This window comes from Homo sapiens, chromosome 11, assembly GCF_000001405.40.
Source record: "Homo sapiens chromosome 11, GRCh38.p14 Primary Assembly".
In the NCBI taxonomy this organism is placed as follows: domain Eukaryota; kingdom Metazoa; phylum Chordata; class Mammalia; order Primates; family Hominidae; genus Homo; species Homo sapiens.
The window spans coordinates 37,109,379-37,124,884 of record NC_000011.10 but is presented as its reverse complement, the minus strand read 5'-3'; positions in this window follow the sequence as shown (position 1 = coordinate 37,124,884).

Sequence of the window (15,506 nt, the reverse complement as noted above, 5' to 3'; positions counted from 1 at the left end):
ACCAAAAGAGAATCAGCTAATAATAATATGTAACAATTGTCGTGCCTTCACCTATTTCTGAGTGTCTAGTGTGATTCAAACAGTGATTCAAGTTCTGGGGATTTAGTAGGGAATAAAACAAGCAAAGCCTCCCCTTACAGAGTTCATGTTAGAATAGACACTAGGCAAATACCTGCTTTAGAGAGTGACAGATGCTATTTTTAAAGGATGATCGGAGAAGATACTTGAGCAAGAGACTGTGATGAATTGAAGTAGCTAGCCATGTGAATATCTGGGCAATGAGTGTTTCAGGGCAAAGAGCAGCCACTGAAAACGCCCTGAGTCAGCAACATGCTGAGGCTCATCAAGAAACAGAAGGAGTCCAGATTGTTCAGGAGTTGACACTGAAGGAAGCAACAGGGAAAGGAAATGAGGTAGAAATTTACCAGGCACCAGACCATCACAAAACACAGAAATCTAGGACCTCTTGGGGCAGGATTTTAGAGCATAGAAGTCAATATATGAAAGTATTTGTTGAAGCCCTCACTGTGGAAAGAAAATTACTATTTTCAACTATTCACACTGTTTCAATGTATTGATACAGAACCTATGCCTTTCTGGATTGTCTGCCATGGTCCTTTAAACAGAGCTACCTTCCCAGCATGCCCAGAAGTTGGCCAGGACTTCCTCCAACCTAACAATTCAGCCCCTGCATCCCTACTTAGCTTGTGGCAGGCCACCAGTTGCAGATTCTTTCTCCTTGAAGAAACTCTTCGGACCCTACTTTTTAGCTTTACAAACACAACTCTATGACTCCTTTGGTTTCATCCCACCCACTTGCCTCTCACCTCAGTCCTAGAAGTTTCCATACCTGCTGTTGCACATCTCTGTCACCTCCCACAAAAACATGCATACACACGTACACAGACAAACACCCCAACTATCCCACCTGCACCAGGTTGCTCCAACAAGATGCCAGCTATGACTGGTTATCTGGAACACTCAAATGATTAATCTTGATAACAGCATCATATACAGGACCCCATGGACATAAATTACTAGTTGATCTTTCCTGACTACCCACAGCAATATTTGAAAAGCTCAGTGAAATTAGACATCACCTGGACAACATTATTGTGTGTTTGGATTTGGATGTTCATAATCAAAAGAAGCTCTTCCATAATATTCTTATGTCTATTACAGCTATATCAACCCATTCTCCAATGCAACAAAAGCCCATAAAGGGGGTAGGGGGGAGAGAGAGACAGAAAGAGAGAGAGAGACTTTGATTAGTGAAAGAATCTTATATCTCATCCCTGCTGATCTTCCCCCTGCAGCCTTAAAATATTAGAGGTTTACAGGGCTCTTCGCAAAACTTGGTCATAGGAAAGTGACTCTTCAGGTTCCTATGCCTGATAACAGATATGATATTTTTATCTGATGTTTAAGGCCCTTCTGTGTCAAAGAGAAGTAGATGGCAACTCTCTATAAGCAATACTGTTGCAGCAGTTAAAATTGAGGCAAACAGATATGAAATAGTAGATTTTTTTCCAAGTAGAGGAAAATAGGGATGAGCTGACATGTTTGCACAAGAAATCATGGACTGAATTTCCAAGAGTTCAGGTCTCAATTCTTTGCAGAGGTTATTAGAGTCCAGCATCTTCTTTAAAGTTACTGATACATACAACAAGCATCACTGCTTCCTATCTCAATCCCAGGGCATCTTCCCATTAGCCTTCCTTTATTCAAACAGAAGATACTCCTTATTGGAAACGTAACCCGTTTTTAATCTATGACAAAATGTTGCCCCTTCACCCATAGTTATTTATTTCCATAATAACTCATTTATAGGAGAACTTATTAAGAACCAAACAAACAAAAAGAATGGAAAAGGAGAAAATTATGCTCAAAAATTATTATCCATGATTTTATTAACCTTCATTTTCCCTCTGAAAATCCCCACAGGTTAGAAAAACTACAAGCTTCAGGAACAACCATGTAGTTTGGCCTTATCAGATAAAGATTACAAAGTTGAATTTTTAAATGATCACACTGATGTGCATGTTTCTTAATTAAACCTCATCATCATTTTTTAAAAGCTTGAATGAAGAACTGGCAATGGCTGAAATCTCTTTTAAAAAGAAGTAATTTCATGGATATGACAATATACAAATGAATGAATAAATAAAATAAAATAACGTTCAAGGATTCCTATGAAAACACAGTTCTTTCCTAGTTCTATAAAATTCTACTGAGTTATATCAAGTTAATATGACTATTTTAAATTTTTTCTAGGCTTCTTCTTATAAACTATATTTCCTAGATAGTATCACTTGACTCATTTTCACTCAAGATTTCCCGTTAAAATAGACTTCCCTAGCTAGAACAAACTTAGATTGTCAATGTCTGTTGCAAAACAACAAAGAATCACACTAGTGTTGGCTAACCGGTCACCTATTTACCCATTTCCTTCAAAACAATTATTTTGTAAAAGTAATTTGCTACCCTTTCTTTTACTGTGTTTCTTCCTTGTTTTCTTCTTAAGTAATTGTCTTGAAGATCAACAACTAACTGTTGTTTGCCTTTGATGGTGCAAACATATACAGTAGTTGGAGACACTGTGTTAGTGGATAGTAATAATTTCAGTAAGAATATTTACTGAGTTTATTCAATAGACTTAAATCTCAGAGAAAATGTGTTTTAAGGTAATTTTATATCCTTTGTAATATGATATTTTTTAAAAAGTGGTTTCAGTTGTAAAAGCTTGATGCAAATAAAAGTCTGTCATCTTTTCTAAGTACTTAACTATTCCATGTGACTTCTGAACACATTGTCATTGGAAAGATTAGACTAAAATGATATCAAATGTCCAATAAAACACAGAAAATCCCTCTGAATCTGCAGGGTTAGCTGGCATGCTTGCCACTTTACACATATAAACCAACAGAAACTAAGCCGGCAATGTATCTTCCAGATTCTCCCAAAGGCAGGATTTTTAGCTAAAATAAATTAGCTTTGAAGAAAGATAGAACTGGCTTTTGAAAAAATGATGACTTTTTAGATAAATCAGCTGCCCCAGAAATTCACTGTGCATATAAGAAGTGGAAATATGTACAAATTAGAAAAACACAAACTTACTGTATAATTGCAGGTGTTACTATTTAGCTGTCAGAATAAGCAAAAAAAAAAAGAAAATCAAGAACATTAGTAATTAACGGAACATGAAAAATCTAAAATGCAGTTAGTATTTGCAATTAACTGGTATTTTTCAGAAATTAGTTGTTCAGAGGAACCAACTAAAACACGTGGATAAGTTTGCTACAGAAATTTAGGTGGTAAAACTTTTAGTTTAGAAGTGAGGTCAATGCATGCTTGGTCTCTGATACCATATAAAACTATGAGACTGGCCAACCAAACTCAATGGCTCTTATTTTTAAACCTCAAATCATTTTTAATTCCATCTTATCTTACAGATTTTTCTTCTATTTCATCACACTCTCTCCATCATTGCTCAGACCTTTTTTAGCATTCCCTTAAATATTAGAATAATCTTGTACTAAACATCTTCCTGTCTTTCTTCATTTTTTGTTCATCTTATATATAGAGCCATGACTAATTGTTCCAAATCTGTTCATGGATTCCTCATTTTCTTAAGGACAAAGGGCAAACTTTGCTCAACCTCTTCCTTCTTCTGTGAGGCAGGCTGGTGGAGGCTCCATCATTGAAAACACTGCTGGAACATAGGAGGGAAAAGAAAAGGAAACCCAGGAAAGCTGTGTAAGGACAAATCTCATGGTCATACCCAGGTTCAAAGGGGTAAGGAGGCACAATTCTGCCACGTGCCTAGGAGAAGGAGAACCAGAGTATTGGTGGACAGTTCTGATGAGTATCACTGATCTACTGCTCATACACTTTGACAGCCAGAAATTGTCTTGAGCCCCTATAGGAAAACTACAGTTGAACTTGGTGTAGCTCTTCACCTCTGTGGAAGAAGATTTTGCTCCTATTGCAAAGGAAAATATCTTGTGCTCCTCTAATGACATGGCTTTATTATAACAAATTGTGAGTAGCCTTAATAAGGGAACTTCTAATAGATTTGTGATCAGAAAGAATAACATCAACTAGCTAAGTATTTAATATTTTATAATTATGGAAGGCTTAGTGTGTGCGTGATACAAGACACTGCATGCATTAACTTATTTAATCCCCACAATTGACCCTGAAACAAGTATTATTACCAACATTTCACAAAGGAGAAAGCAAAGGCACAGAGAAGTCAAGTAACTCACCCAGGCTCACACAGCAAGGGTGTGACTGAATAGGAATCAAGCACAGAAAGCCTGACTCCAGAGCTAGCCCTTTTGGCCACGGCAATGTACTGCTTCAAAGGAAATGACTTGGAAAAAAAATTATTTATTTCTTAAATTAATAATGTGGCTTCCATTCAAGAAAAAAAAATATATAAATCAAACATTAAAATAAGAAGAGCTCAGTCGTCCCTCAAATGCAGAAATACAGTCTTGAGCTCTAAACACCTCTATGTAACGTATCTTATTCCGTTTTTTGAGGCTGCACTTTACAGCTAACATACCCTGGCATGGACACCTGGCTGAAGTACTCATCAAAAGTAGATGTCATGAATGATATAAACTGAGGTCCATTTAGAGCCTTTAACTAATTGGTTAATGACTACCCTTAATATTTTATTCAGGATAAAACTTCTTCCTCCAAACAAATGATGTAGATATCCAGGATCTCAGAGTTTTCAGCCAAATACTTGGGCAAATTCAAAAATTTTTTTAGAGAAAAAAATTCTACCCACAGACACCCTTGCAGACCTTCCTCCAAATGAGAATTGAATGGCCCTCTGTTGAGATCAGAGTATGAGTCAGATTTCTGAAATTTCAAATGAGAAATGTTAGTCTTTCTGTCTGCACACCACACATATAAAGCATATGGATGTCACCTTAACTGACGACACAGAATATCTGCACTACAGCTCTCCTGAGAGGATCCAGCCAAGAATCTACTACAGCCCAGCATTTGCAAAGAGCTCATTTGACCTATCTCATTTTAGAGAGTCAACCTAAAGAACATAATAGCTGCTCACTCCTCTAGGTTCTTCTAATTCCATCATTGCATTAGATCAGCTTGTGAGATAATAAACTTCATTGGTCTTATTATCTTGACTTTTTTATCCTACCTCTCCTCAAAATTCTTAGACTTTGTAGGGTTAAATTATAGTTTTATGAACCTAGTTTTCATATAAGTTCCATAGAAAATATTCACTAAATCACATTTCCCTAACTCCTACTAATTTGTTGGCAAAGAAACCATGTTGTACAGGAATCCCTGTATACAGATCTATAAGAAATGCTGGTTTCAGAAAAAAAATTAACTTTTGTATTTATTATCTAGTACTACATAAATTATCACAAAATCAGTGAATTGAAGTGACATACATTTTTTATCTTTCAGTGTCTGTCGTCATACATCCAGCTACTGCTTAGATTCATGATCTCCTCTGTTTCATGGTTTCTCATGAAGGTGCAATTCAGGGGCTGGCCAGGGTTGCTGCATCGCCTGAAGGCTCAACTGGATTTGAAGGGAATCCTTCAAAGTTTGTATTCATGGTTGCTTGGCAGAATCCTGTTCCTTAAAGGTTATTGGACTGAGGGCCTCAGTTCCTTGTTAGATATTGACTGGAGTCTGCTTTAAGGTTCGTGCCATGTGAGCCTCTCCGCCATGACAATTTACTCTATCAAATCCAGCAAGAGAGAGAAAGCCTGCTAGCCACAGAAATGGAAGTCACAATTTTATGTAGCAAAATTACAGAAATGACATCTCATCATCGCCTTTATTGTAGTCTATTGCTTAAAAGCAAGTTATTAGTCCAGGCTATGCTCTAAAGGAGGTCATTTTAGAGTCTGCTGGCTGCCCCTTGCTAGATTAAATTTTAATTCATCTCATCATCATATTTTCCTTTCAATTCTGGCAAACTTTTAGGGAAAGTTACAAGTTTTCTAATACATTTTTCTCCTCACGCTAAATATTTTCTAAATAGTTTCTATTTACGTAACTGGTCTTTAATACTTCATTATTGCTAGGAACTCCAAATATATTTTGGAACAAGGTATGCATGTTAAGAAATTAATAACAGATGGTTATCTGGCTACTCAGATCAAGGTGTTAATACATCAACTCAATAATACATTCAAGAAAATATAAACTAGGAAGACCTTTGAAGAATGCATTTCCTTCTTGCTATCTCCTTTAAAGCAGTAATGACCAGAAAAATCTCTCAAGGCTGAATGTGAAAAAAATTATGGATTTTGACTGCTGAATATCATGTAAAGAAAAATTATGGTAATAACATTTAGGAGAAAAGGACAACTTCTTCAATGATATGTAATCATACCTAGAGTGAAAATCTTTCCCTAATGTCATGACACGAGTGCTAAAATCATAGGTGAATTTAACTTAATGATTCTGCCATTTTGCTGTGCCTTTATTTACCTTCTAATTGTAGTTGTAAAATAATTCAGCATTTACATATTTATGCCTTGCATTTCTTGCGGAATTTTATGCAATCGTGAAATAACTCCATTTAGCAATCAAGACACTTAATTTAAAGCTTGCCTCACTTCCAATGCTGGGTGACAATCATAAATAATTTTAATGACAATGTCAGGAATGTTAGAAATATTTGAAGGATCATTTGTTTTGCCTGAGCAATATACAGAACTGGAAAGAAGGAATGATTTACATTTTGGTAATTAGACATTTCTAATCCCTTTCATTCTTCAGTCAAGCTATAACCTACTGAATTGAAAATGTAAGATGTCAGTGCTTTTCAATACAAGAATACATATTTTCTGGCATTTCTCTGGATTGAACAAAACTTTGGTTTCCATGGATCCCAATTACAGTTTCAAGTTGTTCAGCACCACAGCAACAAGACAAAGGAGAAATTCATTTAAAGCTGTTGAACTTTTAACATGGAATATAAAGGAAAACCAATGAATGCAGGCTTGGTACATGATTGCTCCCTAGGAGCCTGACAGATCCTGACCAATCACTCCAGTGCTAAGGAATGTCCTTTCAAGACAATGCCACCAGGCAAGTTCACGCAAGAAGAACAAAAAGGTTAAAATGGAACTAATGATTTCATGTCTTTTATTTAAATTGGCTATAGCCTCACCTAGGAGTAACTGTCTTTAAGCTTATCTCCTGGTTAATTGATGAATATCTGTGTAAAATACTCAATAAGTTCACCAACAGTCATTTCAGTAGAAATTTGAAGACTTCCTGGGCTGGCCTGGAGATGGTTATAGGATCAAAAAAAATTACATTGTTTTAACAGATCCCATAAAATAGACTCATCCTGATGGAACAGTGTGGTATGCATAGAATTAATGAGCTCCTTAAGAGTAACAACCAAACCTCTTTTTCCCTCTTTATAACCCCAACATTCAGCATAATGCCTGGCCCACAGTATGTGAATTTTAGTAGTTTTTTTAGAAGTCAATTAAAGACATTTTCTTCTACAAAATAGGTGATAATTTCCATTTACTGTCATAAGTATACTGTTTTTGATATTCAAGGGATTGGTAATTAACAATCTATAAAATGTCCAGAGAAACATAATAAAAGCAGAAGTAAATTTTGAACTGGAAAGCAGAATGAGAAGTCAATAAACACTTTACATCAACTCATTGTGTGCTGGAAATGTACTGTAGAATTCTATGTAGGACAATATAGAAGGATTTTGCAACCTGAGTTAACCACTAAAGTTTACAATAGCATCAGATTATCTCAATAGTGAAAATCTTTTTCCAGAGATACATCATAATATAGATTATATTAATTTGAATGTATCTATAATTATGTCCATCTGTTGTGTTGTGGGTGGGGAGGAGGTCTCACTTTATGCACTGTGTTTAATACAACATTTTCCTGGCTGGTATTCCTCCTTCTGAATTATTTGATTTCTACTATTTGCCCTGTTGAAAATCTTTAAAAGTCTCTAAAATCTTCTAATTTACTTTAATGAGGGAAAACACAGTTACCTTGTAAACTAAGAGAAGTCTGTGCATTTCTAGCTATGTATCCATCTATCTACTTATCTAATTCCTTAAGTAAGTTTTAAACCAGGGCTGTACCTTATCCATAGGAAAAATACACAGATCACACCCATCTCTTTCCACATACGGTGAGTTTGCTTTCAAGCCTAAAGAACAGCGCTAGGCAGACATCTATGTGTGTCTCATACTCTGTTTCGTCATGTAGGCAGCTTGGAATTTCAAATGATTGAGTTATTTTGGGGTTCCATGAATTTTATTATTTGATATGATAGACAGTAATGAGTAGTTCAGAATGAGCGTCCACAGGTACAAAAGGACTCACTAGTTAATTTAAAAAATGAATAAACTACTAGTGGGTTGAAATAACATTATCAGTGAATTGTTACTGATGCATAGAATCAAACTTTGAACACTCAAACCAAGAGATGAGAATTCATATTCTATTAGGTTGGTGCAAAAGTAATGGCAAAAATCACAATTACTTTTGCACCAACCTAATACAAGCAGAAATATATAAAAATGTCTAGTTCTCAATTACAGAATTTGGAACATTTGGTTAATCAGCACCCCAATTTAATTTTTGATTGAACATATTGCCTCTTTTCTCCATACACATGAAAGATTCAAAGCAGCTAGCTAAGAATACAGCTGTTCAGTTCCACTTCCCTTTTCCAGAGTGCTTTAAAGTTCAGCTAACCATTGTAGAAACCTAAGTTACTACAACAAGACCTGAAAATATTTTCTAACAAAATAAGTATTGCATTTCTTTCATTTTAATTCAAATATTATTGAGTGCCAAGTCTGTCTAAAGCACTACTGTCAGCATCAAGAGTATGTCTATTACTATTGAGTTTAAAATTGAGTAAAGGGACACAAGAGGATATAACAAGAACCTGGAGAGTGCCTTAGGAATTCAGAGAAAATTTCAACATAGAGAATTCAGAAGAAGCTTCAGAAAGAACAACAGTTGAGCTTGACCTTGAAGAAGTATCATATATATTCTGACCATAAGCAGAACAGTGAACATGCCGAAACCCTGTGTCTACTAAAAATACACAAATTAGCCGGGCACAAATGGTGGTGCATGCCTGTAATTCCAGCATCTCGGCAGTCTGAGGAAGGAGAATCACTTGAATCCGGGAGGTGGAAGTTGCAGTGAGCGGAGATCGTGCCTCGGTGACAGAGCAAGACTCCATCTCAAAATTAATTAATTAATTAATTAATTAATTAAAATGATGCTTGTTACCATGAAAGGCCATGTTCAAACCTGCTGACAACTGGAAGTTTTCTTTTAAGTTGGCTTCAACTACTTTCCCAAACCCACACTGGACAATTAAATTGTTGTCTTTTATTGACAGCTCTTGTTGGGTGATGGAGAGGACTCAGAACCCACTTGTACTTTTTTCCTATATACTTACAATTTATTATTTGTTCCCCTAAACAGAATGTAAACCCCAAGGAAGAAGGATTTAGGGCTCTTTTGTTTTCACTATAGAAACCAAGTATCTAAATGGATGTCTGGATTAAAAGTGTCTAAAATAACTCAACTTTTTAATTTGTTTGTTTGTTTCTAACTGTGGTAAAAACATTTAACATGAGGTCTACCCTCTTAACAAAGTTTTAAGGGTCCAATGCAGTGTTGTTAACTACAGTCACGATGTACAGCAGATCTCTAGGATTACTCATCCCTCATACCTGAGATTGTAACCTTGTTGAAGAATGACTCTCCTTTTCTCCCTACCCCAAGTCCCTGGCAACTACTATCTACTCTATGCTTGTATGAGTTTGATTATTTTAGATACCATATATAAATGGAATCATTCAGTATTTGTCCTTCTGTGACTGGCTTAATTCACTTCACACAATGTCCTTAAGGTTCATTCACATTGCTACATGTGACAGGATTTCCTTCTTTTTCAAAGCTGATTAATATTGCAGTCTATGTAGATACTACCTGACTTTTTAATAGGTAGAATGCAGTGGAAAGCCTCCTGAAGGAAGATCATAAGAGGTGACACAGTTTCCCGTTCTCTTTCTTTGTCTTGGAACAAGCAACTTGGGATCCCTAAACCCAGCTACCCTGAAATCACCATGCTTACAAGACAGAACAGAGAGATATGTAGAGTATGCAGAGTCAGAGAGATACCCAGATTATTCCAACCCCAGCTTTCAAGCTGTCCCAGATGATGCCAAGTAGAACAGATCATTCTCCTTGCCAAATCCTGCCTGAATTTTAGATTCCTGAACCAAATCAATATTGTGGGTTTCTAATTTGTTTTTTAAGTGTGATTAAATGAATTTTAGTAAATTTACAGACTTGTGAAATGATCACCACAGTCCAATTTTAGAACATTTCCAACACACCAAAAACATCTCTCATCCCTATTTGCAGTCACTTCCCATTCCCCACCACAAACACTGCCCCCAGCCTCAGGCAACTGCTGACTTCTGTCTACAGATTTGCATTTTGTGGACATTTCAAGTAAATAAAATCGTACACTATGCTGTCTTTTGTATTTAGATTCTATCACTACACTTAATGCTTATGAGGTTCATACATGTTGTAGCACTTATTAGTACTTCATTGCTTTTTATTGCTGAGAAGCATTGCATTTTATGGACACACCACATTTCTTTTATCTGTTCACCAGTTGATGAACATTTGAATTGTTTCCCTCCGGCTGCTACAAATGGTGCTCCTTTGAGTGTTAATACATAAGTCTCTTTTTGGATAGGTGTTTTCATTCATCTTTGGTAGATAACTAGGAGTGAAATGTCTGTGTTGTGCGCTAGCTGATATTCAACATTTTAAGAAACTCTAAACTGTTTTCCAAAGTGACTGTATCACGTTATATGCCTGTTAGCAATATATAAGCTTTCTCGAAATTCTTCGCATTATTTGTCTTTTTGAACCTGTCTTTTTTAATGTCATTATTTTAAGCCACAACATTGTTTCAGGAGAGTTTATTACAGAGCAATGTATTTCTACAACAATCTTATCATTTATTTTTTCCCTCCACCTCTAAAATATGTTTCACCAAAGCATGGATCTTTAGCTACATTGTTCACCAATCTAACCAAAACATCTAGAAATTTGCACATTAAAGGTGCCACCAATATCTAAGGTTTGAGTTTTCAAAACAACCACATCAAGTAGGAACTGTAATTACTGTTTATGATATTAAAGCTGAAGTACACGTAACAAGGAGTGTCTCAGTTAACTGATTTTTTTCTCTTCTCCTAAAATTCACAGCACTAATGAGTTTTAGAAGGTTGTAGTATGACCACGTAAGTTATTCAAGCAAATTAAGTTATTCAAGCAAATTATATATGTAATATATTATATGTAATAATATTATTATATACATATACATTATATTATATTTATAATATATAATATATTTTATATATACTATATAATATATAATATAATAATATATTAATAATATATATAATTTATAAATAATTAATTTATATTTATAATATAATAATATATTAATAATATATTACATGTAATTATATTATTATATGTATATAATAATATTATTACATGTAATATATATTCACCTAAATTTGTTTATATTTACATATTTTTATATGTGCATGTATATATTTTATATATATACATATGTATACTATATAATATATGGTATATATAATGTACACATATACATAATTATATGTATTATACACATATGTATAATATGTATGTATGTATTAATATGTATTATATAAAATATATAATATATAAATATATATGTAATATAATTAACCAATTTAGATAAATTTAGACTAACAGAACAGGTTGGATTATAAGTGTGTGTGTGTGTGTGTGTGTGTGTGTGTATATATACACACACACACGGACATATGGGCAAACAATCTATTGCCTCTGGGGGTCCTTAACATAAGGCAGGCATAATGCATAGTCCTAGAAAGGAAGACATTGAAATGTCAACTGACAAAAAAAATATTCACCATAGCTAACAACTGTCTGCCTCTGATGTGCTTGTTAGTCCCCTGTGGAGGAAACACGTATGGAAAAAATGCTCTAGAGAAGCCCTGAAAAACTTCAGCCAAGCAGGTCCCTGCTGATAACTCAGTGGGTATGCTCAGCCAGAGGTCTAGGGAGACAACATGCATTTAAAAGCATTTTAACCTGTGCTCCTGTGATACCCAGGAATCTAGCCCAAGAGCACTTTTTCTCATAGCAGAAGGGAAAAGAGAAAAATCTGGAAGCCCAGAAGTGAATAAAAATCATTTATATGAATAGTTTTCCCAAGGAAATATATAAACTGTGCTCGAATTACAAGCTCATATTTTCAAGAAAATCGCGTGTATTTCAATCTTTATCTTTCATAAAAGAAAAATGACATGTTTTAAAATTGAGAGGTAGAGAGAGGTAATTAAAAGTCACAGTTGAATATTAAAGATACAAGAAAAAATTTGAATATCCCTACCTCGGGATTACTGGAAAGGTCACTGTGATAAATTTAGAATAACAGAACAAGAAATTATAAAAATTATTTTGGGTCAATTCCCTGCCTTTAAGCAATAATTAAACTATTGTATAAAGAGAATTATCTATTATGGTCTTAAAATTTTCAAGAGAAAATTATCAATATTCATTAACAATATGATCTATAATTTTACAACTATTAGTCCAGATCTGCGAAACATCAAGTGAAAAACAATAACTCAGATAATTATTTTTTTAGTAAAACATAATCCAGAAGTGCCATCTGCAGAATTCTGGTTTAACTGAATTACTATTATATTTGCCATTACAAGTGAAAAATTTTTTTGATGTGTTCCTTAAAACAATAACTCACTAAACAAGACCTCGGGGACCTGGAAAAATGTGAGCTTCCCAAACTTTCCTTTGGCAGAAAGTCACTAAACACATTGGGTAGAGGATGAATTTTCATTAAGGAAAAGAAGTGTATCTGGAGGAATCTAGTCAAAATGTGAAAGTATGAGTCTATTGTTGGAATCTTGAAATGGAACTAAAATACAATAATAGTAACAAAAATAACAAAACGCTATCATTTGTTAAGCACTAACTACATGGCAGGCCCTGTTGTAAGCTCTCACTTGATTACAACATTATAACCTTTAAAGGCATCCTCATATTATAGGACTCTCTGAAAGTGTCTGAGTTCATATCAAGCTCTATCTGACATCAAAACCTATTCTTAACCACTCGACACCATGAAATAGGGCCACTAAGTTGAAGCAGTAATTAATATCTAGAACTGAATTTTCATCCACATGTTGACTAGCAAGAGGGTTTAGACTAACAAATAGTCATCAGCAGAGAAAAATATGCTCACCTCTATGGTTTGCAAATGAAAATCAAACTTCTGGCTTAAAAGGTATACACAATTAGAGAGCTGGAATTTGAATCTCCAAAAGGTGAATAAGCATAGAGTTAGGCAGAATGAAAACATACGCAAAAAGAAAAAAAAAAACATCAATCAGACTAAATAAGGGAGTAATAATCAGAGTTTATTTTGCCCTTTATATTCTAACAGTCATTGTAAACCTACTATATTTAATCCTCATCAAGCACTGTCAAAGTAGATAGACATCTGCTTAGGTCAGATTCGCCAGAACTGCAACATGAGATGAGGATTTGCATGCAAATAATTTACTATGGAATTGCTCTGAGAAATCAGTGAGGGAGCAAAGGAAACAAGGCATGGCTATGGAAGCAGCCAAACATGAACATGGTCTCAGGTAAAGTTACTCAGAGTTGCTTCAGCCTGACCCACAGGGGAATCTTAGGTGTGTTCCCACTGGAACAAGGAAGCTGACCTCCCACATTCTCGCATCCATCATGAGTACAGTGATCCTAGGGATATGGGTGAAGTCCCAGCAGTATTTATTACAGCATTTTACCCTAATTTTATAGAGGAGAGAGGAAACAGAAACTCACGTTAGTAACTCATGGTTAATAACTTTGCCCAAGGCCTGGGAACCCAACCCAGGTGTATTTGACACCAAAACTCAAGCTCTTTCCAACACTCCATACCCTCCTGAAATTATTTCTCCACCTAAGTTGTCTGTTAGTCCAGTATTCTATTGCCCATGTTTTCTCTGCCAGTTCCTGTAAATGGTATCAAAAGGCAGTCAACCACATGCTGATGGGATTTCACAAATCCCTCCTGATCATTTTCTAGTTTTGCCTGTGCGGACCTTTGCTGCAATCAGCAGTTCCTGCTATCTAGTGCCTCAGGAACACAGTGTTACATTAACCAAAAGAGCCCTTAGGCTATAGTCGACTCCTCAGAGTGTTGTGTAATAGAATATCCCATTACAGATACTCTCAGGTTTAAAAAGCCTCGAAAGATTACATGAAAAACAGTAACACAGGGAGAGAAGTGCAGTCTTAGGGACTGGGTGTGTAAACGGCAGAGCTGAAGACTGGGAAAAACACACAGTTTGGGAAAATTATGGCAAAATATCCAGAAAAACAGATTTTTTTTCCACTTTTAAAATGTAAGTTTTGGTCCCATCTAACCAAGCCAAAAGTTGAGATTTGAAGGTTGATTTGTTCTTTTACCACCAGTACTCATTGTGGGTGGGCAGGCTACTCTGCTTCTAGATTTCCTGTGGCTCTATCTCCGCTTACATCCCTCATCTATCTCTAGGCAATCTGGGAACATCTATGCTCATTTATTTATATCTTCATAAATGTAAAACCTAGGGACCTATTTATCTAGTCATTGAAAGTCTATAAAACAGTAATGTGGGATGTAAAATATTCAGTGATTCTAAAGAGAAGAAAATTCTAAATTTGACCTTATTTCCATGGGACCATTAATCAATGACACTAAATATTATCAGCTTGATAATTGTACATAAATAAGGATTGAATCTCTGATGAGGGATTAAACTAAAATTACTTCAAAAGCAAGCACATCCAAGTCAATGTTTTATAAAACCTTGACTGAGTCATAATTTTGCTTGTCATCTTTTTCATAAAAGAAGATTTACACGTCCTATGATAGCACTAACCTTTTCAAAGACTGGCAAGTACACTTCATATATTTAAGTAATTATGAATTATGACTCCTAAATTATGATATCTAAAAAAATCAGAGAAATATGGGAAAAAAGAATAACTCAAATAAGAGAAAAAAGTTACTTCATTCTATTTTCAACTCTTTTTGTGTTTAACTCAGTAATATTATAACATCTGATACTTTTGGTTACGTGATTCTAATTTTCTTTACTTGACATTATATGTAGGAATATAAACACATTAGTTTATTCAAAGTTATTTATTGAATATTTACTCTGTGCCAAGTGTAAGGTGTTTTATTGCACTAATGTTGTTTAGGAGTTCAGGAGGGAAGGCATGCTATATTTCATGATGACTCTCACTCATTCAGTCATTCAACAGGCATTTATCAAGTATCATCTCTAGTACTAGGGCAG